Raw genomic sequence first — 27,386 nt, 5'->3', positions numbered from 1 at the left:
GTTTTACTAGGAAATGTCTTTATGTTAACCATTCTTGGTCAATTTCTTTCTACCCAATGTGTTTGTCAAATATGAAAATTTAAGTCTTTCATTTTAACAAAAGCACTGTTGAATTATACCTTAAAATTTGTTCTGTTCACTTTTTTTGTTCTTCAGCGACTTCTCCCAACATGTATATGTGGATCTCCAATGTATATCTTTTATTTATATTTATCTCCCTATCTCCCTAGTCTGTCCCTCTCTCTCCCTCTCTTCTTCCCTCCCCTCCCCTCCTCTCCCCTCCCCTCCCCTCCTCTCCCCTCCCCTCCCCTCCCCTCCCCTCCCCTTCCTTTCCATTCCTTTCTTCCCTCCTCTGTTTATTTTCATTTCAATGTGGTCAGTTTCTCATTTTCTCCATATTCCTTATTGTGTTTTTCATATTGCCTATTTTCCCTTGTGCAAGTTTCAATTTATTTTGTTAGGATAATTTTCCCTCTCTACTTCTTTTCTGAGTTCTTCCAGATCATATTTTATTTCTTTCTATTGTCCTTCTATATCTTCCCAGAGTTCCTATGTTTCTATTTTGAGGTCTTACTTCAAAAGTAGTCCCTTCATTAATTTTTAAAAAAATCCATGACAAAATGTTTGGTGACGACTTTTGTTTGCTCCATGGCAACCTGTTTGCAGTGTTCTTTCATCTGTAGGTAAGTTTTGATGTTCCTTCCCATGTTTGTTTCTTATAACACATTTTTATTTATTAAATGCAATCCTTAAAAAATAAAACATCCTTCTTTCAGCCAGAACTGCCATCTTCCAGTAATTCACCAAAATGACAAACACAAAGGGAAAGAGGAGAGGCATCTGATACACGTTTTCTAGGCCTTTTAGAAAACATGGAGTTGTTCCTTTGGCCACATATATGCGGATCTATAAGAAAGGTGATATTGTCGACATCAAGGGAATAGATACTGTTCAAAAAAGAGTGCCCCACAAGGGTTACCATGGCAAACTGGAAGAGTCTACAATGTCACCCAACATGCTGTTGGCATTGTTGTAAACAAGTCAAGGGCAAGATTCTTGCCAAGAGAATGAATGTGCGTATTGAACACATTAAGCACTCTAAGAGTTGAGATAGCTTCCCGAAATGCGTGAAGGAAAATGATCAGAAAAAGAAGGAAGCCAAGGAGAAAGGTACCTGGGTTCAACTGAAGTGCCAGCCTGCTCCATTCAGAGAAGCACGCTTTGTGAGAACCAATGGAAAGGAACCTGAGCTGTTGGGACCTATTCCCTTGATTAATGGTTCCTTACGAATTATTCATATTTCCTATGAATTCATGGCATAATAGTTGTTAAAAAAAATACCTCCGGACTGTAAAAATGTTTCTCTCCATTGAGTAGAAGTGTGGTGTCCTCCTCCCGCAAAGAAACATTTAAAGTAAATTTTAATTGTGTCCTAATTCATTATGTAATGTCTTTACTATTCAAATTTAAAGTACTTCTTGCTGAAAGATGTGAGGTAGCTTATTGTGCAACACATTACTCAATTGGTTAGAAAACGGTCAGATATTATTTATGAAACATTTGTACCGGTTTGAAGATAGTCCCTCTAAATCATCATGGAACAAATAAAACAATTTATAAAATAAAATAGAACATCCTTGAATTAGCTGGTTTTTCTTGGACTAGCTATTTATTGAGGCTGAGAGGTGTAGACTAGCCTTCTAGCCTCTGTAGTTCTCTGCTGTTACAGAGACAGATTGTTTCTTCCAGCTCTGGCTCCTCTTTGTTATTATTTGCATAGCTCACTTCCTCTGCTTTTCTGGTCAAAATTTGCTCCAAGAGGACTTCTGCTGGCAGCATGCTCATGTGCTCAATCTCTGATATTCCACAGATGGAATATAGCTTTCACAAAACAAGGTTAACACTCACCTTCAGCAAACACATTTTTTTTTTCTGGTGTAACTTGACATCTGCCTCTGCTAAGCCTCCTTGCTTCTCTCTGGATAGTTTACTTCTCCATATGGCTTCTACCTCATTTGTTTATGGTAGCCGTTATGTGATCTGGGAGTTATCCCTCTTCTTTAAAAAAACAAAATTTCCAGGAAGTGAGAGTGAACTATTCTGGTATATATAGTAATATTCATCTTTTAAATTAATTTCTTTATATTTCATCTATATGAAGCATTACCGTCTTAAAAAATAGTGCACATGCACGTGAAGCAACTGTGGAACAATAGGGAAAGAATCACCCAGAAGCATTAGAGGTAACAGTGCCTCTGGCTATTACAAAGCCAGGAACAGTCTGTTTTTGCTAACTACATTGGGAAGCCTTTTGATTCATGGGCATTGGATAGAGTACACAGAGGGTCTTGCCTTAGTAGTAGAAGATAATTCGCCCTAGACTGAGCCCTGCTTTACTCTTGCTTAACAAATCTTAAAAGCAAGAAAAGAGACGACTTGTTCCCAAGCAACTTAACTTCATTCAGAATAAAGTTCAAGAATAATTATAAGAATTCAAAAATATCCAGTACCCCAAAATGTAAAATTAACAGTGTATGACATGCAATAAAAAAAATCATCAGGCATTCAAGAAGCAGGAAAATATGACAAATATTAAGGGAAAAATCATTTCACCTAAATTCACTGAGCACTGACCCTTATGTTAGAATCGACATCAAATGAATTATAACTGCATTTCATATGTTCAAAAAGTTAAGTAAGATACAAAATAAGATTCAAGTTAAAGTTCTAGAGATAGAAATGACAATATGTGAAATGAAAGGTACATTGAATAGGATTAATGGCAGAATAGACAAGGCAGAAGAAAAGATTAGTAAACTTGAAGACATGGCAATAAAATTATCAAAAATGAAACACAAAAAGAAAGATAATTTAAAAAAGGAAACAGAGCTTCAGAGAGTTGTGGGACTTCATGCAAGCTGATATATGTTTAACTGGAGTCCTTGAAAGAAAACAGAGAGAGGAAACAGAAAAAGTTTTGACCCTAAAGATTCTTCCAGAAAGCTCCTAGAATTGATAAAAGAATTCAGCGAAGTTTTTAGATACAAAATTAATGTACACGAATTAGTACCTCTTCTATACACCAACAGTGATCAAGCTGGGAACCAAATCAAGAACACAACCCCATTTACAATAGCTGCAAAAAAAATACTTAAATACAAAACTACAAAACACTGCTGGAAGAAATCATAGATGACACAAACAAATAGAAACACATCCCATACTCATGGATGGGTAGAAGCAATATTGTGAAAATGACCATACTGCTAAAAGTAATCTACAAATTCAACACAATTCCCATCAAAATACCACCATCATTCTTCACAGAATTAGAAAAAAAATTCTAAAATTCATATGGAACCAAAAACGAGCCTGCATAGCCAAAGTGAGACTAAGCAAAAAGAACAAATCTGGAGGCATCACATTACCTGATTTCAAACTAAATTATAAGGCCATAGTCACCAAAACAGCATGGTACTAGTATAAAAATAGGCACATAGACCAATGGAACAGAATAGATAATTCAGAAATAAACCCAAATACTTACAGCCAACTGATATTCAACAAAGCAAACAAAAATAAAGTTGGGGAAAGGACACCATTTTCAACAAATGGTGCTGGGATAATTGGCTAGCCACATGTTGGAGAATGAAACTGGATCTTCATCTCTCACCTTATACAAAAATCAACTCAAGCTGGATTAAGGACTTAAATCTAAGACCTGCAACTATAAAAATTCTAGAAAATAACATTGGAAAAACCCTTCTAGACATTGGCTTAGGCAAGGATATCATGACCAAGAACCCCAAAGCAAATGCAATAAAAACAAAAATAAATAGCTGGGACTGAATTAAACTAAAGAGCTTTTGCATGGCAAAAGGAACAGTCAGCAGAGTAAATAGACAACCCACAGAGTGGGAGAAAATCTTCACAGTCTATACATTTGACAAAGGACTAATATCCAGGATCTACAATGAACTTGAACAAATCAGCAATAAACAACAAACAATCCCACCAAAAAGTGAGTGAAGGACATGAATAGACAATTCTCAAAAGAAGATATACAAATGGCCAATAAACATATAAAAAATGCTCAATATCACTAACAATCAGGGAAATGCAAATGAAAACCACAATGTGATACCACCTTATTCCTGCAAGAATGGCCATAATCAAAAAATTAAAAAATGATAGATGTTGGCATGGATGTGGTAAACAGGGAACACTTCTACACTGCTGGTGGGAATGTGAACTAGTACAACCACTATGGAAAACAGTGTGGAGATTCCTTAAAGATCTAAAGGTAGAACTACCATTTGATCCAGCAATTCCACTATTGTGTATCTACCCAGAGGAAAAGAAGTCATTACACGAAAAAGATACTTGCACACATATGTGTATAGCAGCACAATTCATAATTGCAAAAATGTGAAACCAACCTAAAAGCCCATCAATCAATGAGTGGATAAAGAAACTGTAATATATATATATATATATATATATATATATATATATATATATATATATATATATATAAAATGAATACTACTCAGCCATAAAAGATGAATTAATGGCATTTACAGCAACCTGGATGAAATTGGAGACTGTTATACTAAGTGAAGTAACTCAGGAATGGAAAACCAAACATCGTATGTTCTCACTCATAAGTGGGAGCTAAGCTATGAAGATGCAAAGGCATAAGAATGAGAAAATGGACAATGGACTTTGGGGACTCAGGGGGAAAGAGGGGGAAATGGTTGAGAGATAAAAGACTACAATAGGGTGCAGTGTATACTGCTTGGGTGATGGATGCACCAAAATCTCACAAATCACCACTAAAGAACTTATTCATGTAGCAAAACACCACCTGTTCCACAATGAACTATGGAAATAAAAAAAATCAAAATAATAATAGTTGTACCATAGTTATATATGTAATATGTGAACATTAGAGAACACAGGATTAAAGGTATGCAGAAATTCTCTTAAAAAAGAAAAAGTTTTGAAAAAATAATAACTTCAAATTATGCAAATTTGATGAAAATAAATTTGGGAACCCACAGTTCCCAAAACACTCAATGAACTCCAAGCACAAGAAACATTAAGAAAATCACGTCAAGTCTTATTATAATCAATTTGCACAAAACTAGTGACAGAAAAATCTTAAAAGTGTTCACAATAAAAAGATACCCTATTGCAGAAGATGAGTATAATAGATTTTTCATTCGTGACATTTTTTTGTTAGAAAAAAATCTAGAAAGAAGCAAGAAGACAATTAATCAATGTCTTCAAACTACTAAAAGAAAATCTACAGCTTTCAGCATAGAATTCCATACTCAGAAAAAATAGGCTTAAAAAATAAAGATGAAATCAATACTTTTTAAGACATACAAAAGTTGAGAGAATTCATTATCAGCATACTTACACTGTAAGAAAGGCTAAAGGAAGCTTTTCAGGGAAAAGAAAATTGATGTTAGATGAAAGCAACTGTTTAAATAAAATTGCAACAATGCAATATGGGATTTATAACATATGAAAAAGTAAAAAGTAAAAAGATTGGAAGAAAGAAATTGCATTGGCATACTATTACTTGAAGATAGAGATAAGCTAAATATGTATACTATAAATCCTGAAATAACCACCTATATAACAAAACAAGGAATGGAGTAGTAAAGGAGATTAAATAGAATAAAAAACATATTAATTTAACCCAAAAGAAGACAGATGATGAAGAAAAAAGGAATGAATAATGATAGGATAGATAGAAAACAAATAGCAAGATGATAGACTTGAATGTAACTATATAAATTATTACATTAAATGTAAATGGTATAAATATCCCAACTAAAAGACAGAGATGGTAAGATTGGCTGATAGTATGCCCAATTATCCCTAGGTTATATACATTTTAGTATTTGTATTTATTCATTTAATGAATATTTAATGTATTTCTATTTCATAGGGGGAACAGAACTTGGTTCTGGTGATATAATTTAGTATTAAATGCAGGTAAGTAAATATACAATTAATACAGAGTGTAATAAGTGGCTGGGTAGGAGTTTGATTTTTCTCTGCATTCCTGGAAACAATGACAATGTTTTAAAATTATTAACAAAATGACCACAGGTTGCACTGCTTTAATTACACTGCTGGATAATTTTCATACCAATTAGAATATATGAAGAGTTTCTACTAAGCAGTCAGCTATTTATAATTACAAATGAAGCAGTATCTGTGGAGTCTTCTACAAAATCCACTTTGCACTTATTATTTATCTGTTTTCTTCCTGTACTAGAGCAGAGGTTTTCAACTGGGGCCAATTTTGCCCTCGAGGGAGATTTGGCAATATCTGGAAATATTTTTGGTTGTACAACAGGGGTGGGGTACTACTGGCATCGAGTGGGTGGAGGCCAGGGATACTGCTAAACATAGTACAAAGCACAGCATAGCCTCCAATAACAAATAATTATCCAACCCCAAAATCAATAGTGCCTTGGTTGAGAAACCTTGAATTTCAGTGGCAAACTAATCCTAGTTTTCAAAAGACTTCCCAGGTTTCAGCAATGAAAATCTTGCACCTTAGGAAATTCCCCAGTCTCAGGTAAATCATGAAGTTGACCTTCCTAATTCCTACCTATTAATATTAGAAAAGCAGTATATATTCAAAGAGTTGTTCCTTTTAGTATGAACATTCAGTATTCCATAATCAGCATAAATATGCATTGAGAACATAGTTTGTTCAGTATTATGTCAAGAATGTTACCTGTATTGTCTCTTTTAATCATCTTAACAATTGCACGAGATTACTATTATTAACTTTATTTTACAACTGAGAAAAAGTAGGCTTACATTAGGCAAATTGTTCAACGTTATACAGCTGCTTACAGTAGAACTAGGATTATAAAACAAGGTCTATTAACCCCTAAGTATAGTGAGAATATTTCTCCTTTGCAGGATTGAATATATTTTCTCCACACTGTGCCAAAAACTGATCACATGGCTTGTGTTTATAATGATTAATGTCTCAATTACAAATCAAACAATATTTTATTAATTATTATGTTATATTATTATTATTTTTTTTAGAGACGGGATCTCACTCTGTTGCCCAGACTGGAGTGGTAGTGTGATCATAGCTCACTGTAACCTTGAGCTCCTGGGCTCAGGAATGATCCTTCTGCCTCAGTCTCCCCAGTAGCTAGTTCAACAGGCAAGTGCCGCTATGCCTAATTTTTTTTTTTTTTTTTTTTTTTTTAGAAACGGAGGTCTCACTGTGTTGCCCAAGCTGGTCTCAAACTCCTGGCCTACATGATTTTCCTACCTCTGCCTCTCAGAGCACTAGGATCAGGTACCACTTATGAAATTCCTCTGACATACCATTTAACTTACCTATTACCTCCATGAAGCTCAGAGAGATTATATAATTCATTCTGGATTAGCATCAAGTTAGACCCAAATCTCTTTGGTTTCAAATTTCATACATTTCAAAGAATTCCATAAGTGATAGCTCTAATTATCCATGTGAGGAAATAGTTTGAATTAAATGGCATAGATTAGCTTATTCATGACATTTTCATTAGCAGAGTAGGAAGAAAGAAGAGAGATAATGTGAATATCAATAACATTTATAGCTCAGTATAATGAAAAAGCATTTGGAGTCAGAAAGGATTAGTAGAAATCCAGCTTAGATACTGTATGACAATGTAGCATCTATCTTCTATGAAATGAGGAAAACAATACATTTTACTGAACATTGTAAAGATAATAATGATATAGTATACACACCCCACATACCTTGTCATTTATTTGAAAAATGATGCCGGGCACTGTGGCTCTAGTCTGTAATCCCAGCACTTTTGGGAGGCTTAGGAGGGTGGATCATCTGCGGTCAGGAGTTCGAGACCACCCTGACCAACATGGTGAAACCTTGTCTCTACTAAAAATACAAAAATTAGCCAGGCGTGGTGGTGAGTGCCTGTAGTCCCAGCTACTCGGGAGGCTGAGACAGGAAAATTGCTTAAACCCAGGAGGTGGAGGTTGCAGTGAGCCGAAATCGTGCCACTGCCCTCCACCCTGGGTGACAGAGCGAGACTCCATCTCAAAAAAAAAAAAAAAAAAAAAAGAAAAGGTAAAAGGAAAAAGAAAAAAAAATCCCTCGCCCCATTCTTAGAGCAAGCTGAAAATCAAATGCTTGATTGTAAATACTGCCCTGAGTTACAAACATTCAGTGATGGAAATGAAATATCAAATTTTCCCTGTAGTCAGCAATGAGATCGCCAATTAAACAGGTGCAGTTCTATTTTCCGGTATTTGTAGGAGAGAAGGTATGGCTCCTAATGTGAAGACACATTCAGAGCTGCAATGTAATTAAAATGACTCAATTATAATGTACTGAAGGTAACCACTAAATAGACAGGTGTGAGTAAAGTCCATTTTTGTTTTGTTGAGAATAATACTATGTTTAGCTTAGGAAAAAAATCCTAATACTATGTTTAGCTTAGGAAAAAAATCCCACCAGAAGTCTATAATTCTTTGGTGAATGAAATGTCACCATTTCATTCATTGTGAGAAAAGAGTACAAAAGAATGGGAATGATTATGGAAGAATTACTATCACCAAGCTGGGTGATTTCCTGGGAGATGTAAGATTAAACCCTCTTTCATTGAACAAGATTGTTCCACATTTGTGGTGAACAACAGATGACCAAGTGTATGATATAAAAGTGAAGAGGCATGCCATCAGAGGTCAATTCAAAGAGTGCAGCATTTCCATTGTTGAGAGCTCAGAGGAGGTAGAGCAGTCAGGAACTAAATTAAAAGTGTTTTCCATTGTGTGTGTGAAGATTTACTCATATACTCCTTTCCTTTTTTTCTTATATTCTTTCTCTCCCCTGGTTGGATTTCAAGACAATCTGACTACTCCCACCCCCTTTGCTTTCATACTGGATATAGAGAAAAGTAATTATGTAACCTGCAAATCAAACAGGTGGATTTGAGAAATGAGAAATCGTACTAAAATAATTGCTTTCGGCTACCACTGTGGTGTATTCAATTTAACAGACACCTGGAGACAACTGGATTCAGAGCCACAGTAATTGTAGAGGAGGATAATTGTGAATATACGGGATTATTTGTATATTATAAACAAAGTGTATATGAATACTGTGGAACTAACGGCAAAAACTCTCGCAGGCAGGGCAGATCCAAGTTTTGTGGCTCTTGACGTTTATATAATTTTGGAGGGCTCTTGATACAAAATTAAGTACAAATATGAATATTAAAAGAAGAAAAATAAACCACAGTAAGTTACTAAAACTTTGGAGACTCAGATCCTTTTCTGAATTTATTTCGGCAATTGTCAGAAGTGCTCGTGTGCAAACTCGGCTTCCTCGCCCCACCTATGGCACTCAACTCCCGGCAACTCCCAGCACACACAGGGGCCCATGCAAGTGAGGCCCGGTCACTGAGCTTCATTGGTAGCATCCTCTGCCTACAAGAACTTCCGTTGTAGCTTATTTTATTTTGTTTGAGAAGCCTAAAAGTACCGTAAAACATAAAAAACAGAAACGTTCTATCTGATGCTTGTCATTTCATCTAAGAGCTCAAAACCCTAGGCACCTTTCACGTACGCGGGTGCTTGCATCTCGCTCGGTTTCATAGGTCCGGAATTGGTGCCCAGCCGGGCCTTGGGGCTACTCAGCAAGTCGCGCGCCCACTGGGGCAGCAGAAGGGTACCGCAGTCCCCTTGCGGCTGAGTGGAGAAGGGAGGGGGCTGCGCGGGGAAAAGCGAGCAGGGGCCGCGCCTCCCGCTGATTGGCCGGGAACAGCCCATAGGGGCGGGCTCTCCGCGGCGCTCGCCGGTCCGGGGTGGCTATATTGGCACCATTCCTGCTAGGTCGAGTTGCTTCCCCGCGCCGAGCTGAACCTGAGCAGAGAGTTTCTGAGGGCAGCGCGGGCGCAGGAAGGGGGGTGAGGCTGCAGTGCGATGAAGCAGCGGCTCAGCGAGCGGAGACAGGCGGTGTGGCTGGACCAGCCGGCCCAGGGCCCGCGCTGCTGTTCCCTAGGCTGCTGAGGCGCGGAGAGCGGCGGGCGAGAGGGAGGAGAGGGATCGGAGCGCGAGGGAAGCCGGCTTGGCTGCCGGCGGCTCTGGTGGGCCTCCCCGATCGGGGTCCCCAGGGTGGAACCATGTGGGTGGCCAAGTGGCTGACTGGGCTGCTCTACCATCTCTCGCTCTTCATCACCAGGTCTTGGGAAGTTGACTTCCACCCCAGGCAAGGTAAAGTCACCGCGAGACGCCTTCAGCGGCTAAGTGGGGGCGCGGGGCCCGAGTGGGACATGCAGGTCGCGGGGACGAGCGGCTCAGCCCGTTGGGGAACGCTGGCCCTGCTGGAGCTCCCGGGACTCCCGGACCAGTCAGCCGGAGAGGTCGCGACTGCGCCGGGTTTCGAGGAATCGCGCGCGCCTAAGACGCATCGCACTCCCAGGACCACACGGCGGGGGCGCAAGGGGCAGGGGGTCGCTTGCACCCGGAGGGAACGAGTTGGGGGCTGCGGGGAGGTTAGGAGGTACTGGGGAAGGAAGTGGGTTGCTTAGGGCCATTAGTGGTAGGGTCTTTGCTTGGGGAGGGTAGGGCAAGTTGGGGGTGTGGGAAAGCAGAGCACTAACCGTCCCAGTGCACGTGTGTGTGTGTGCGTGCGCATCAGCATGTGTGCATTTGTCTTGCCCCTGGCTGTACTGGGACCTGGGACCTTTAGCGGGGACGTTTGGTGGAAGAAGTTTAGAGTTGGACAATGAGGAACGCGTGGGAGCTCACTGGTCCTGTCGCTGTTGTTGCAGAAGCCCTGGTGAGGACACTGACCTCCTACGAAGTAGTGATCCCCGAGCGGGTCAATGAGTTTGGAGAAGTGTTCCCTCAGAGCCACCACTTCAGCCGGCAGAAACGCAGCTCCGAGGCGCTGGAACCCATGCCGTTCCGAACCCACTATCGCTTCACTGCCTACGGGCAGCTCTTCCAGCTGAACCTGACCGCCGATGCATCCTTTCTGGCCGCCGGCTACACCGAGGTGCACTTGGGAACCCCGGAGCGCGGGGCCTGGGAGAGCGACGCAGGGCCCTCGGACCTGCGCCACTGCTTCTACCGCGGCCAGGTCAACTCACAGGAGGATTACAAGGCCGTCGTCAGCTTATGCGGAGGCCTGGTGAGTGTCCTCGGGTCCCTTGGCATTTTCTTGGGATCCAGGCAAGGGCTACATTCAGCGAACGGGGCCTTGGGTTTTCGAGTTGGTGGCTGATGACCCTGGAGTTCAGGTTGGGCTACAAGAAGGATTAACACCAAGCCAGAGGCAACTCCTTCGGAAGGCTCTGGTGGCAGGATGAGCAGGTCTCTGCCTGCTGGGCAAAACCGACCCTCTGTGCAACGCTGATGAAAGATGCTCTTTCATCATCCCTGGAGTGGTGATCAGGGAGTGGCCTGTGGGACCACTGTTACAATGGAGTGTGTTTTCCGAATGGAGGGCAGGCTGTTTGACTCAGATGTACCCTTTCGTGGTCCTATTGAGGCAGAATCCCCCGGATTTACTTAGATAAGTTTGTTTCTGGAATTTGATAGAAGGAAAGGAGAATGAATATACATAAAATGAAATGGCTCCCACTGGCAAGGTCAGAATAGGAAAAGTTCATTTTGTTGATGGTATGGGGATGGCCTGTGAAGTAGAGTAGGGAAGAGGTTGAATCTGTTTAAAATGCATCATACTTGAAAACAGTCTACCTACAGAGATCTATTGGTTATGTCTGTTATATTTTTGTGGTGGTAATCAGTTGACACATAGCTACACCAACCATAATGTGATATAAAAGTATCATTTTATTGGTGATAAAGCCACAGTGTCTGTGGTTTCACCTACCTTCATACTTGAAGGAAATGCTCAGTATCAGAGGTTAGTGAAAATAAAGATGTACCTTTTTTCCATCCAAGTTCATGGAACCCCAGGGTAAGGACAGTTGTTTTAAAACATATATAGGCTCACTCCATCAGTAACTCCTCTGACAAATACATATTCAAGAAAAAACAAGAACTAGGAATTTGGTTACAGGATTCTACAGTTCCTAAGTATCTAGCTTTTGTTTAGCAGATACATACTTTTACAAAAGATACTTCTGGAAGGTGTTCAAAGATATTTTTAGAACATCAACACTGTTTATTCTTTGATTAAATAAAAAATTGATAACATTTCTCTGCAGTTCAAATGTAATACTCCTTTAGCTTAACTGATTTAAGATGTCTTCCTGGATGTGAGCTCTTTTTCAAGTGATTATCTTGAGTTGTTTTTTACATGAAATGGCTAGAACCATTTCCTTTCTTTCTTCCATGTAAAATATTTGCAACATCACAATGGCAGAATCACACTCTAATATTTACATAGCCACCTATACTTCAAAGGATAAAAAATTCTCCTTCTAAAACCTTTCTAAAATAATGTTTAGTTTGTCTGGAAAATCCTAGACTTGCTACCACAAATTTGTCATGGTCATTATGTTTTCTCATGGAAAAGCATTCCAGATGGGAAGGCATTATAGGGAATGCTGTTTCTGCTCATTTTGATTCATAATGTTGATGTAGTTAAATTATTATTCAGTATCCTTTTTTAAAATTTTTAATTTTTGTGGGTACATAGTAGGTATATATATTTATGATCAATATCCTCTTTTTGAATTCAGAAAGCAGTTAAAGATTTTTGAGTCATAACTCTCTAGTCACTGTGTCATTTTGGATACAGTTGCCCAAGTCATCATCATACTTTTTTTGTTTTATAACCTAGTTCATTTTATTAACATATCTAAAAATTAATATTAATATTTTTATAATGTTACGTGTGAAGATTTATTATTTCCTCATTTATGTGGATAATGTATTATACAATATATTATGTGTAAGTTAATCAGCAATGTTTATCTTCTTTAGCAATGTACTCATTAATAAAAAATGAAATCAATCATTTATGTTATATAAATTTTATAATAAAACATTCAGAACAAAATTATTTAATTTAATTGAGGGATTACTAGAAATTACAAACAAATAAAATGATTTGTTCTGAATGTTCTTTTACTAAATTTTTGAAGAGGAAAAATCACCTATAGGAGTCATACTTTGAATGGCAAGTAAATAATCCCATTTATGTACTTTGCTTTTGATAATTTATTGATATTATCAGAAGTAGTTGATAAAACATTTAAACGTTTCTTTTCATACCTCCATAACTTAGCTTTATTTTACATAATTTCTCTGTATTTGCATAAGGCTTAGTTGCATACTTCAATCATTGTAGAGACAGAAATTTTCCAGTAACATTGGAAATAACTAGAGGTATCAAGATCTACATTTTTTTCAGTAGTGTGATCATAATCAATTGTAAGTCTAAATTACTGATGAGATTAGTGACTTTTTAAAAATTTTGCTTTTTTTATATTAGCACTAAAACGGATATTAGCTACCTATTTATGATTATATATATTTATTTCTACACTGACTCTACGATTAAATTTCTTTGGATTAATAGTTTCATCAAATAATAGAACCTGGTAGATTTTAGAATCCATTTGTAATTATACCAGATTCCCCTTTTTAGTCTCAGATCAGCCTTTAGTCTTTGTATCTAGGTAAACTGTAGTATCCGAAACCTGGACCAGATGAATTGTTTGCAGATCAATGTTGATACAAAGCTTGGGAATTCAATAATGCTAACCTGATGGCCCTGCTCCTACTTGCTTCCTAGTTTATCTTTGTCACCTTGTGTACTTGATATCTGACTTTGGCCTCTCAGTCCATTAAACATTAAGGTTGCAGTTTGCTGAAGGATTCTCAGAGCTAGTCTTATTAATTTAGAGATGTTCTCTTCTTTTTCTAGTCGCTTTTTGCTTTACTTTAGTTTTGCTTTTAATCATGAATGGATGTTGTAGTTTATTAAATGTTTTTCCTGAGTATATTGAAATGAGCATCCAATTTCATTTCTTTTTCTGCTAATGAGTGTTGTTTCATATATTGGTGGATTCAAGAATTCATTGACCATTGATAGAAACTGACTATATACAGGGTTATAACGTGTTATGAGGTCTTTGTATTGTTTGGGAGAGGGGTGAGGAAATTGTACCGTCCTTCAGTTCCTCAAGTTTCTGGTGATGTTCTTTGTGCCATAGTTTCATTGTACTTTTCTGTTAACAGCAGCTGATTTCTGGGCCTGAGAACTTATGGCCTTTTTTCTCCTAGTTCAATGAGAGCTCACTGGTCTTGACTCATCCTCCTCTGGGCTCTCACTAGTGCTGTATATCCCTCTGAATTCTGGCTATAATATCCATTTGATTTCTTGTCTCAGTGATTCATTGTGCAGCCTTCAAATACAAAGTCCTGCTGCATCACCTTCTCCAGGTAAACTGGTTTGGTGATGCTATTGCTCTTCTTGCAGACCCCTCTAAAGGCCTCAAGCCCTCTATGGCATTTGAGAGTCAAGAGGGATTCAGTTCCTCTCTTTGTCGAACTCTTCTACACCTCTAAATTTGATGTGTGTAGGGAACCCTTTCAGAGGGTTCCTTCCTTGAGTCCCACATAGTCAGCACCCTGGAACACCTCTTTGGGCAGTCCCTTTGAACAATGCAATATGCCTTCTGTTTCTGGGATTTTAACCCCCCAGTGGAGAAGTTAATGTACATACATCTTAGCATCTGTTTTCTTTGCCTCCATTGCCTTTCCCCCTCCCCCTCCAGTATCTACTGAGTTCCATTTTCACATCTCATTTAATTGACCTTTTGCCTTTCCATCTTCCCAACTGAGGTAGACTCTCTCATTCCCTTCGCTGGTGGCAGCGAATGTGGCTTTTAGAGAAAAAGAATGAAAAACAAATCAAATTAATATTTTCAAAATATCTCTGTATAACCATTTGTTAAAGTTGACACCCCAATGTATTTATTGATTCCGTTTAGTTGTTAGTTTTGAATTAACCCCAAACATGTGAACTAATACTTTCTTTTAATTTCTATATGGTTAAATTTCCCCCACTTTTAGAAGTTTTGGTATTTATGTTTTTCTCTGAACCATAACTAGTATTGTTTAGTTTTTTTCCTAAGTATTTTGAGCCCAAGAACCAGAAGAGTCTAAGAGTCTGGCAGAAATTTTCTTTGTTTAACATGTATATAATTCTTGCTTTTCTAATCTTTTCTTCTCTATAATTTTTATTTTCCATAAGTGTAAGTATTTATTCATCCCATAATTCAAACATTTCTGAATAGAGATTTATTTATACATTTCCAAGATCTATAAAAAGTATAAAAATGGAACTGAATCATAAAATTATCTATAAGTAATGTAATGGCTAATCAAACTCTATGTTTTTAATCCATTGATAGGCTATCTCATAACATGTATAGTTACCAGGACTTAATATCCCTATATCCAACTCTAAACTTCTTTTTTATGGTCATATTATTTATCATCTCATAATGTTGTTAAATACTCTTGCCAACGTATTTAGAGATCAGTATTTAATAAGTTGGCATATACTTGTCAGGATGGAATTGACAAACTTTACACAGGCTGTTTCTGACAATTCCTCATGCTTCTGGTAGCCCTTTTCTCATATTACCTAGGGTGTTCAAGTCTTCCCAAGGTCCTCGGGGATTAACTCAACTGCCTAGACAGTTAACTTCTCTATTTCTTGGTGGGATTTGAGGCAATGCAGTCTTTCTGGTTGAAGGAAACAGTTTCCAGATGTCATGAAACCAGACATTGCATCTGACTTATACATGGAGTAGAGCTTGTCATGGCTGTGTGTACTTTTGAAGTTTCTCACATGAACCATTCTGCAACATGTCAAGCATTACCTCTCTGATGACTGATTATTGAGTTGCTCTAGTAACTTCTTGTTCAGACAGGAAATAAGAATATAGAAACTATCAATAGTGTTTTTACTGTTTTTTGTGTATTCTGGCAAAATTTTAGTTTTATTATTTTCCAAACTTTCTATTTTCCCAGGACTAATATAGCCTTGGATTATTACACATGCCATTCTGTATTCATATTTTTTCTTATTGAGAAAACTAATAAGAACCTCTTTTGGCTATTCATGTACTTGCTGCAATACTAGTCAAACAGCAGTATGGAAAATTTCTTATGCTGTTCTTTTAACATTCTAGTGTGTGTTAGTCCAGGTCTTTCAAGAGACAGATGCAAAGATAAGATTTTAGTTAGGGGAAGTGTCTGTGTTAGAGAAACTAAGGAGAGAGCTTGGAGAGCTGTGTAAGAGCTTATGTAAGAAAAAAAGGCTTACATAGGAAAAAAAAAGGATGAGAATGTTGGGTAGTAGCATCCTAGGCTGCTGGGCAGTCCAAGCAAGGTTGAGCAAAGCTGTCCTTGAGCCAGACTTGGCCAGAACAAGAGTCTATGGCTCTCGAGAACAGGTCTGCCATGATATCCCTACCATACTCAGTTACTGACAAGGAGAAGTCCTTGGGAGCTATGGCCAGGGTGCAAACACTGTGATGGATTTCAAAGTGCCCTTGCTAAAGTAGACAACATAAAAAGTGCTGTGTAAACTTTGAGGAATGACATAATTAAGGAAGGAGTGATTAAGAGAGTTGTGAGACCTCTGCTGGGCAAGACTTCTCAACTGGACTTTGAGGAATGAATAAAAATGGATATGAAAATTCAAGGACTTCTCGTGGACTGTGCAGCTGAAAAACAGGGTAGATTTGGTAGTGAGAGTTTAAGACCAAGGAATCAGATTGTTAAGGTCCTGAAATGCATTGTAAAGGAGTGAGAATTTGAACAGTATGTGGTAGGTTTGTTCAATGTATTAGGAGGCACATCTCCTCTTATGCACCATTGTGCAGGGTACAGGGGAGGCAGTGAGTCACTGAGAAGACCAGTGTTGTAGTCTATTACCCTACTGCGGGTAAGGAAGAGAGGCTATTTAAAGTAATGTTGCAGTGGGGAAGGAGAAGAGTGGGTACCTATGGACCGTATGCTACTGCAGATCAGTGCTTCCTTACTGGGAGCAGTTTTGTCCCCCAGAAGACATTTGGCAATGTCTGGAGACAATTTTTGTTGTTGCAACTGTAGGTGCATTGAGGCGAGCATGCTACTGGCAGAGCATGGGTACAGGCCAGCAATATCCCACAATGCACAGCACAGCCCCCTACACAAAGAATTATCAAGCTGTCCGTAGTGCTGAAGTGGAGCAGCCTTGCAGGAGACCCCTTAGAATTCTGGAGCATTGGTGAAGGAGACCAAAAAGTTTTAATGACTCTGGTTTAAATGACTGAATGATCTTGTGGCTGTTAACCAAAAAAGGCAATGACAGAAGTGGCAAGAAAGGTAATTATTCTGGAGACACTTGTTTGATTCTATCACAGATTTACTCTAATCTTCATAATTGCTTGAATTTATATTTGCTCTTCTCTCTGTATAGAATGTCCTTTCCCTCAACCTCCTAACTATCCTTCCTGATCCATTTTGAGCTGCCTTCCTTTTCCCCTGATCTTCTCTTGGCAAAATTGACCAGGGCGTCCTTGTTGTACCAGTTGACGTTTTATGCACGTGTACTCTCATTACATATTAAATTAAAGCTAGGTGTCTGCATTTCTATTTCATTTATAGAATTAGAAGGTAGAAATGATAGTCATATTTCTTTTAGCACCTAATATATAGAATTGCTCAACACATGTTGAGCAACACATTATGAGTAAGATAAGCAGCTAACTTTTATTTATATATGCCAAATATTTAGCTAGCTCATCTTTACCTCAGTCATTCGATGCAGGAAAATTACTTTACCAATTTTAGTTAAAGTGCTTGGGCACATTTAAGAAATTCTGTATTTACTAAATCTCTTCCGATGATACCTAAGTTAATTGTGTTCTATTTATTAGTTCATTCATTTGAGCTTACATCACATCCTTGTTTTTTGTGGCTTTATTTCTGTTGCAATTATTGTAATTACTGTTTTCTATGAAATATATTTAAGCTGTCCAACTCTTACTAATATGCAAAGGAAGAAACACATTGTTCATTTTTTTTCAGCAAATATTTATCAGTCATTTATTACCTAACAGCCACTATTAGGTTTTGGTGGTACAGTTATGTGTTTTCTATTGGAAAAATATTGTTTATTAATTACAAATATGTTTATGAGCTATATAATTTATAACTATAGTAAGAGCATGGAGAAGGTATACTGGATCTTGACTTTCTCAGCCCAAAGGTGACGCAAACCAATTTTATGTATATTCTATTGAGGAGAACTAGTTGCCTGGTTCTACCTAGATGTAAAAAAGACTGGAAAATGAGGGGCGTTGATTTTTCCTAGGAAAAAGAAAGAACACCCATATTGGTGATCACCAATAGTCTTTATTACAGGCTGCTCTTCTGTTCACCAAACAGATCACGCATCAAACATACTCATCTTGTCTATAAGGAGAAAACTCAAAGTTCCCACAGGGGCACTGACTCTGGCTCAATGTCCAGGATCTCTGGATAACGCAGTCTTCTCCATAAAGTCAAGATGTGGCTCTTTGTAGCTTGGAAAAATATGAATTAAAAAGATAAATTATCTTCAGCTACCAGCCAAGTATACAGCATGACCAGCATGACTGCAACCCTAACCCCAACTTGCTACAGAAAGAAGAATAGGAGACACCTAGTAGTCACTGATATTTAGCAGTTTTTGGCTCCTGAAGAGGAATTGTGGAGACTCACTACTGTGGAAGGAGGGGAGCTCCTTGATTACTTTTCTTTCTTTTTTTTCTTTGAGACAAGACCTTGCTCTGTTGCCCAGGATGGAGTGCAATGGCATGATAATAATTCACTGTAGCCTTGAACTCTTGGGCTCAAATACTTCTGATTCAGCCTTCCAAGTGGCTGGGAACTACAGGCACACCCCCCCACACCTGACCAGTTTTTTTTTCTTTTTTAAAATTTTCAGTAGAGATGGTGTTCCCCTATGTTGACCAGACTGGTCTTGAACTCCTGGCCTCAAGCAGCATTCCTGCCTCAGCCTCCCAAAGTGTTGGGATTACGGGCATGAGCCAAGTGCCCAGCCCTTGGTTTTGGCTGGGATCCTTGGACTTCAATTGCCCAGATCCTTGGTTCTACCTTCTGGAACTTTCTTGTCCATCTTCCTCCATGGCCACATCTAAAATGGGGTCTCAGGAGGATGTTGTCTTGGGGGAGCTTCAAGAATGCTGGGGTAATTCTGAAAGCCTGTAGGTTATTTTACAATGAACTCCATCAAAGGCTTTTTCAGTCCAGGCTAGTGTTTTCTTTGACAGTATAATCCCTCTAAAACTTAGTTGGCTTCTGACAACAGATCAAGTTTTGATAATTGCTTCAAGTTAGTTTTCTGTGACAGTTGCCAAAGCCTAAAAGGCATTTATTTTAAATCTTTTAATGCCAAGAACTTATTATAGGGAAAAACTAAATTTTGAATTCTCACTTTACTGGTAAACCAAATAAAATTCCAACTGTACTAAAGTAAAAGAAAATGACAGTATATTGTAATTTTTAGATAGGGAAAAATACAAGAAATAACACATGAAAAAAAAACAATAGATTGGCCCAAATGATAATTGAAGAGTTCCATGTCAAAATAATTGTAAAAAATTTTAAAAATAAACTAGGAAAATATATGCTACAAATATTACAGGTGGTCTGGCATATGTATGGCATATGTCCCTCTAGATATTATATGTATTTTTGTGTTTGTTTTAAAGTAATATTGCTTCAGAATATTTTGACAATATATCATGAGTATGTTTCCATTATAGACCTACAAAATAGTTTTTAATGATTTCTTATTATTTTAAATTTCTCATTGTTATGATTTTTGATTTCATATTTTCACGGATATTTTGGAGACAGTTTGGGAGAGGCCATCTGAGGACCACTACGCAGACCCCACAAGAACGTGGCCATTTCTTTGACAATTCTTTCCTCTTTTTAATTAGTTCATATGACTTTATAACACCTCAGTGCCCACAAGAATGAGAAATATTACAGAATTTGCTCCATGTTATGAAGGCTGCTGGGGCACACTATTTGAACTTGTGTCTTTTGGATACATAATCTTGGGTAGATGAGTCCAGTCTTTGTTTTATTTTCTTGATTTGAATAGGCCAGGACTTGGCAGGAGAGCAGTCCCTTTTAAAAAGGTAAGGTACCAGCAACGTATTTATTTCCCTTTTATTGTTTCATTTTTATACTAGAGATCTGGAATTGTCTCAGAATGGGGAAGGTAAATAATGCTGCTAGAGAAGAGAAGAGAAGAACAACTAACCTTAAAAAACAAAACAAAACAAAACCCTTACTATGAATTTTCTGTTTTATGCATCTGGAGTTAATTCTTGTGTTTTCTTTATATCATTGATTCATTCATTTATTCAATGTGTGTTTCTGTATAATACACTATTTCCTAGGCATGATTAATGGTGTTATAAGGAGAAACTGTCAGAGAGAGAAAACTTTTTACATTTTTACTTATCCCCAAATAAAAATTAATCTCAGAGTTCATATTTGTGGTCTTCGATTATATAACATTTATACTCTGCCAGTGGTAAAAAGAGTGGCTGTCACATTTGTGTTGTTAGTGGAGAATTTTTCATCTTGCTTCAAAATACATTCAATTTCAAAACAATTATTGAAGCTCCTATTATTAATATCACTTAAACACACATTAACCTTCCTAGGAAATTGGGTAGATACAATTATTTCAATTTTGTTTTACAGACAATGGAACTGAAGGTCAAAGATATAAAGTAATTTACATAAGAGTCTATGAGTACAAACCCAGAACTCATACCTAGGCTTTCTTCTTATATATCATCATACTGATTCTTATGATATGATTTATGATTGAAGATGGAAAAACTAAGTATTTTAGTCAACACTTCAGCAGTACCTTATTTCCGAATGTTCTCCAGTTGACAGTGTTTAATGTGATAACTATAAATGATTTGGGAAAAGAGTTCAAAGGGTTTGTATTTTGTACTTGTTATCACCCTTTAATGAAATCTGAGAGTACCTTATTGGTTGTAGCAAAAGTACATGTATTTGCTATGTATTTTGAAAAAAATATATGGATGAATGCCATGATACTGAAATAAGAACATTTTGGAAAAACAATTTTATAGAATCTTCTAAACATATAAAAATTTTGGCCTATGATAATAAATTGGAGCCAGTTTTATAGTCACTTAACTGCCTTTCAAAACAGCTTGGCAAATAGAAGATCATCAAGTAATCAAGAAACTCCTACCCAAGTGAAAACTAGTTTTGCTGTTTTTAATAGTCATTGAAAGAAAGTGTTAGGAATTTGATTGGCATTTATCATGAATCAAATTGCAGGGCCCATCTGCAGATAGTCATGTTGCTAAAAATATGGCATGATCTAAGTACAATTCTATGAACCACCTGTTTTTTTTTTAAGTCTGCTAATTCCTTGCTGGGTTCTTTCCAAGTTAAAAAAAAATTTAAAGTGCTTCCTTAGGAGCCTTTAGGCAAAGCTCTAATATTTTAATTATTTGAACAAAAAGTCCACTGCAATGGGATAGGTTATAGAAAAATCAGTGGGGGCAAAATACTTCTAAGTCTTCCATTAATAAATAAAAAGGACAAGTATTTATCCTCAGTTTGAGGACAAATATTTGCCATTATTTTTTAACTTAGTGTTTCCAAACATACAAGCTTTCATTTAAGTTATAAAGACAACATTTTTTAAAGGCTGGAGTGTTCTAGCACAACTTAAAAGGAGGTACCGATGGTTTCTGGATAGAACTGTATTTTCTTCTTACATGGGAACACAGATTGGACCCATGTGCAGTTTTATTGGCATATTAAAATAGTACCTCCTAGTCAGAGTTTGAGCCAAAAGGAGCTTAAAAGAATTCTGTGGTTGGCCGGGCATGGTGGCTAACGCCTGTAATCCCAGCACTTTGGGAGGCTGAGGCGGATCAGGAGATCGAGACTAGCCTGGCCAACATGGTGAAACCCCGTCTCTACTAAAAATACAAAAAATTAGCTGGGCATGGTGGCAAGCGCCTGTAGTCCCAGCTACTTGGGAGGCTAAGGCAGGAGAATCACTTGAACCCGGGAGGTGGAGGTTGCAGTGAGCTGAGATCGTGCCACTGCACTCCAGCCTGGCGATAGAGTGAGACTCTGTCTCAAAAAAAAAAAAAAATCTATGGTTAATATAAGTACTTTTAATTTTGCTTGAAGATAGTGTGATGCTATTTAAAGTAGCTTTGTAGGTACAGTTAGTTGAGTAAACAAGCTGCCTTATGTCTATTAGTATATTTTGTCAAGATAGTATCACATTTCCCCTCTTCAGCATGCTTTTTAAAAAAGGCAGAAAAGGATTTTCCATGGATCCATGTACTCAGGTTGCAAAACAATGTCTTTTTTACTTCTTATAAGTATGGGTAAAATTAGTTTTCTAGGAAGGCAGAGAATGCTAGAGTATTGGTGTTTGTTGAAAGTAAGTGATTTGTAGTTATCTTTAGAAAATAGACACTGGTAGAATTAGTGAAATATGGTAGGGTATCAGCCCTAGAAAAGTATCCAAGAAATAGATAAGAATTCTTATATTTATAGCTTTGCCTTTTATTTTATAGACTATAATTTCAGTGCTTTATAGTCAGTAGTCTGATGGAATTTCATTAATTTTTGAACTATTTAAAAACGTGTAATCCTAACACATTAGCACACTATATAAGGGTGTCTAAACATTTTACTTTTCAGCATTGAAAGAAAACCGTCATATAACTATATCCTAGACATGTCTCAAGAGTACCATAACTTAAGAATGTTCATTAAAGCCTGGGCGTGGTGGCTCACACCTGTAATCCCAGCACTTTGGGAGGCCAAGGCGGGTGGATCACGAGGTCAGGAGTTCAAGACCAGCCTGGCCAAGATGGTGAAACCCCATCTCTACTAAAAATACAAAAATTACCTGGGCGCGGTGGCAGGTGCCTGTAATCCCAGCTACTTGGGAGGCTGAGGCAGGAGAATTGCTTGAACCCGGGTGGTGGAGGTTGCAGTGAGCTAAGATCACGCCACTGCACTCCAGTCTGTGTGATAGAGTGAGACTCCATCTCAAAAAAAAAAAAAAAAAGAATGTTCATAAAAAAATTAAAGAATTATTTACCCAAGGATATAGGATGAGAAAAAACCAGGTACTTCACCAGGTTTGTTACAAAAATGTTCATTTCTGCAGCTGTCTACAGAGTGCCTGCTGTGTTTCAGGCAATGTTTTAGATGTTGGAACTCTGAAAATAGTAAATATGTTCTTACCTTTAAGGAGATTTCAATGTAATAATAAATATCAGTGGAAAGAGAACTTTATGGCTACAATTGCCATGATCATTTAAATGGCTTTAAATGTTCGGTTAAAATAGTGATTTAAAATATATGTTACTTCAAACTATTAAACTACTACAAGAAAACACTAGGGAAAATGTTCAGGACATTGGGCTGGGCAAAAATTTTTTGAGCAATACCCCACAAGCACAGGCAACCAAAGCAAAAATGGACAAATGAGATCACATCAAGTTAAAAAGCTTCTGCACAGCAAAGGATACAATCAACAAAGTGAAGAGACAACCCACAGAGTGGGAGAAAATATTTGCAACTACCCATTTGGGAAAGGATTAATAACCAGAATATATAAGGAGTTCAAACAACTTTATAGGAAAAACATTGAATAATTTGATCAAAAAATGGGCAAAAGATTTGAATAGACTTTCTTAAAAGAAGACACACAAATGGCAAACAGGCATGTGAAAAGATGCTCAACATCATTGATCATCAGAGAAATGCAAGTCAAAACTACAGTGAGATATCATCTCACCCCAGTGAAAATGGCTTATATCCAAAAAACAGGCAATAACAAATGCTGGTCAGAATGTGTCAAAAAGGGAACACTTGTACATTGTGGTGGGAATGTAAATTAGTGCAACCATTATGGAGAAGAGTTTGGAGGGTCCTCAGAAAACTAAAAGTAGAGCTACCATATGATCCAGCAATCCCACTGCTGGGTATACACCCAAATGAAAGGAAATCAGGATATTGAAGAGATATCTGTACTCCCACTGTTTGTTGCAGCAGTGTTCACAATAGCCAAGATTTGGAAGCAACCTAAGTGTCCATCAACAGATGAATAGATAAAGAGAATGTGGTACATATACTCAATGGAGTACTATTCAGCCATAAAAAAGAATGAGATCTAGTCATTTCTAACAATGGGGATGGAATTAGAGATCATTATGTTAAATGAAATAAGCCAGGCACATAAAGATGTACACTGCATGTTATTTGTAGGATCTAAAACCCAAAACAGTTGAACTCATGGACATAGAGAGTAGAAGGGATGGTTCAGAGGCTGGGAAGGATAGAGAGAGGGTGTGTGGGGTGGGGAGAGGTGGGGATGGTTAATGAGTATAAAAAATTAGAATGAGTAAGACCTATTTGCTAGTACAACAGGTGACTATAGTCAATAATAATTTAATTGTATATTTTAAAATAACTTAAAGAATGTAATTGGATTTTTTGTAACTCAAAAAGCATTTATCAAAAGATAAATGCTTCAGGAGGTGGATATCCCATTCCCCATGATGTGCTTATTTCACATTGTATGCCTGTATCACCATATCTCATGTACTCCATAAATATATACACCTACTATGTACCCACAAACATTAAAAATAAAAGTAAGGGCCGGGTGTGGTGGCTCATGCCTGTAATCCCAGCACTTTGGGAGGCTGAGGTGGGTGGACCACTTGAACTCAGGAGTTCGGGACCAGCCTGGGCAACATAGTGAAACCCCATCTCTACCAAAAATACAAAAAAAAAACCTTCAAAATTCCGCCAGTTATGGGAGGCTGAGGTGGGGGGATTGCTTGAGCCTGGGAGGTGGAGGTTGCAGTGAGCTGAGATCATGCCACTGCACTCCGGCCTTGGTAACAATAAATAAATACATACATAAATAATAAATAAATGAATGAAAAATAAAATAAAATATGCTTTTTATTTGCAGTGGAATTTAAAACAATGATTTCAAAGTATCTCTATATTAAGATATTTGTGATTAAGAAATGGAAATGAAGTCTCATTCACTAAAACTATGTTTATCATACTACCTGCAATTCAGTAATTTGTTTCTGAATTGGGTCTTCACAGAAACATGCCTTTCCATGTGGAAAAGTGCAAAGTTTTAAATGTAGGTAAATATATTTGTGTGATTCTGAGGTGTGAGGAGTGCTTTTTTCTGTGAAGCGTAATTAGTGCAACCAGGCTTCTGCCTGTCTGATGTCATCTGCTACTCTGTATCTCCTAGCTGGCACAGCTGCAGCCTCACTGTTCTCTCTGTCACTTTACCTGCCAAGACTTTTTCATCTCTAGGCCTTTCAGTCACCGTTTGGAATATTCCCTTCTATGTGGAATGTCCTCCCAGAATTTTCCACGGCTACCTCCTGATTACTCTAGCCTCAGCTTTGCTGTCCCCTCCAGAGTGCCTCCCCACTCTCACCCTCTTTTATTCTCTCTCTCCTTATTTTATTTTTTATTGCACTTATTGCATATTCTATTATATTTTTATTTATTGGTTGCCTTTTTCCATAGGAGTATAAATTCTTTGAAGGCAGGGATTTTGTCACATTTATCTCTGTATCGTTAGCCCCTAGAACGGTTCTTGGCACATAGTAGGTGCCCATTAAATATTTATTGACTAGTTCATAGAGTTTATCAAAATTGGTATGTGATAATGAACACAGTGTAATGAATTAAGGCATGAATTGTGAAGCCAAAGTATTTGGGTTCATATCTTGATACCGCCACTTACTAGGTATGAGCCTTGGACAAGTGACTTAACCTCTCTTTTCCTCATTTGTCTCACCTGTAAAGTGGGGATAATGATATAATTTACTTTAAATAATTATTATTAGGTGGAAAAGAATTATATATTTATATAAAATATGTATAGGAATGAATATATATAAATGAATAATGTCTGATCTCTATATTGGTATTAGCTATTAATATTATAAATGCCTCCCTTGGATGACTTAGCCTCACCTGACTCGAGAGAGGGATCTATCTACATAAATTGACCATTTAAGGGCTTCTTTCCAACAGAGTGCAAGTCCTTGTTGTTTCATACCTTGATGGCTAAACATTTCCCTTCACTAGTCTTTCTTTAGTTGTACAATTGTTCAGTCTTTCAAAGTTATTGCTTTGACTCTGCTCTCCACTCCCACTTTTATTTGAATTCTTTAATGATTAAATGAACCCTTCTTAGAATCTCAATGCACCTAAAATATTAATAAAAATACAAAATAAAGCATTTATATTGAAATATAGTTATCAAGATATTAAAAAAAGTTATGTATCTTTTATTAGCACCTTAAATAATATGATCTAATGGCAGACTAATAGCTACCTTAATTTTGAAGTGTTGATAAGCATAAACAATATTTTTAGATATTTCAAACATCATCATGTGATGAACATATCTGTGCTTTCTGTTGACAACCTTACTGGAATTTGTAGCCTACTTTCAAATTTAGCATTTCTTTCATGAAGGAGTTTATAGGTTAATTATAATTAGGTTAATGATAATAAGGATGTAATTTTTTTTCTCACCCAAGTTTATGGACTCCTCTGACAAAAATCCCTGCAAGCAAGAGTCTTTATATTCTAGGTCTAGCCTAAGTTTTCAAATTTATGCCCTACTTTTGCTTAACATAAACTGAGCTTGCAAAGGTAGGAAATAATAGCTTTCACGGTTTAACAAATACCTACTGCTTACCACATGTGCCTAGATCTCAGATAGTCTCTTCAGCAGTAGAAATTCAGGGATAGGTCACTGCTTATTTGAAGACTTCTGTCTAGTGGGGAAGAATAGTTTTAAATAGCAAACAAACATATAAATGCAACATATGATAAATGTGCTAAAGAAATCAAGCAGATGTAATGTGTTTTTAGGAGTAGGGATGGGTATGTAGTTACCTAGAAAACTGGTCAAGGAAAAACTTTCTGGGTGGTTGTTATTTGAGCTGAGACTTGAAGGATGAGATGAAGCCAGCCAGACTGAGTGTGATGATGCAGAGGTAGAGGTGAAGGGTGGGAAGCAGGGAAACATTTTAGGTAGAGGGACAGCATGTTGGAAGCACGATGCCATACCTAGTCCATCCTACATGCACCCAGTTTCACCCACTTCTATCGGCACTGTTCCTAATAATCCTTCTAGAGTTTTTTCAGTAGTAACCAGGCAAATAGAAATATTTAGTTTTAGGGTTTCTTCCTTTATTATGCAATAGTAGTGAAGTATACATTCTGTTTAGTAGTTTTTT

The 27,386-nt window shown here is 37.5% G+C and overlaps 1 protein-coding gene and 1 pseudogene across 2 annotated transcripts in view; both read left to right on the top strand.

Annotated features, from left to right (window-relative positions):
* On the top strand, positions 770-1,340 carry RPL21P101 (ribosomal protein L21 pseudogene 101; annotated as a pseudogene).
* Positions 9,903-27,386, top strand: part of ADAMTS20 (ADAM metallopeptidase with thrombospondin type 1 motif 20) — a 199,441-nt gene continuing 181,957 nt past the window's right edge. For both annotated transcript variants that reach the window (XM_011538754.3, NM_025003.5), the window contains exons 1-2: positions 9,903-10,275; positions 10,836-11,197. In XM_011538754.3, coding sequence (XP_011537056.1) covers positions 10,185-10,275; positions 10,836-11,197 — 453 coding nt within the window. In that variant the 5' untranslated portion in view covers positions 9,903-10,184. The remainder of the gene's footprint in view (positions 10,276-10,835; positions 11,198-27,386) is intronic.

Source organism: Homo sapiens, chromosome 12, assembly GCF_000001405.40.
Source record: "Homo sapiens chromosome 12, GRCh38.p14 Primary Assembly".
NCBI classification, from domain to species: Eukaryota; Metazoa; Chordata; class Mammalia; order Primates; family Hominidae; genus Homo; species Homo sapiens.
This window is presented reverse-complemented; position numbering and strand designations above follow the sequence as displayed.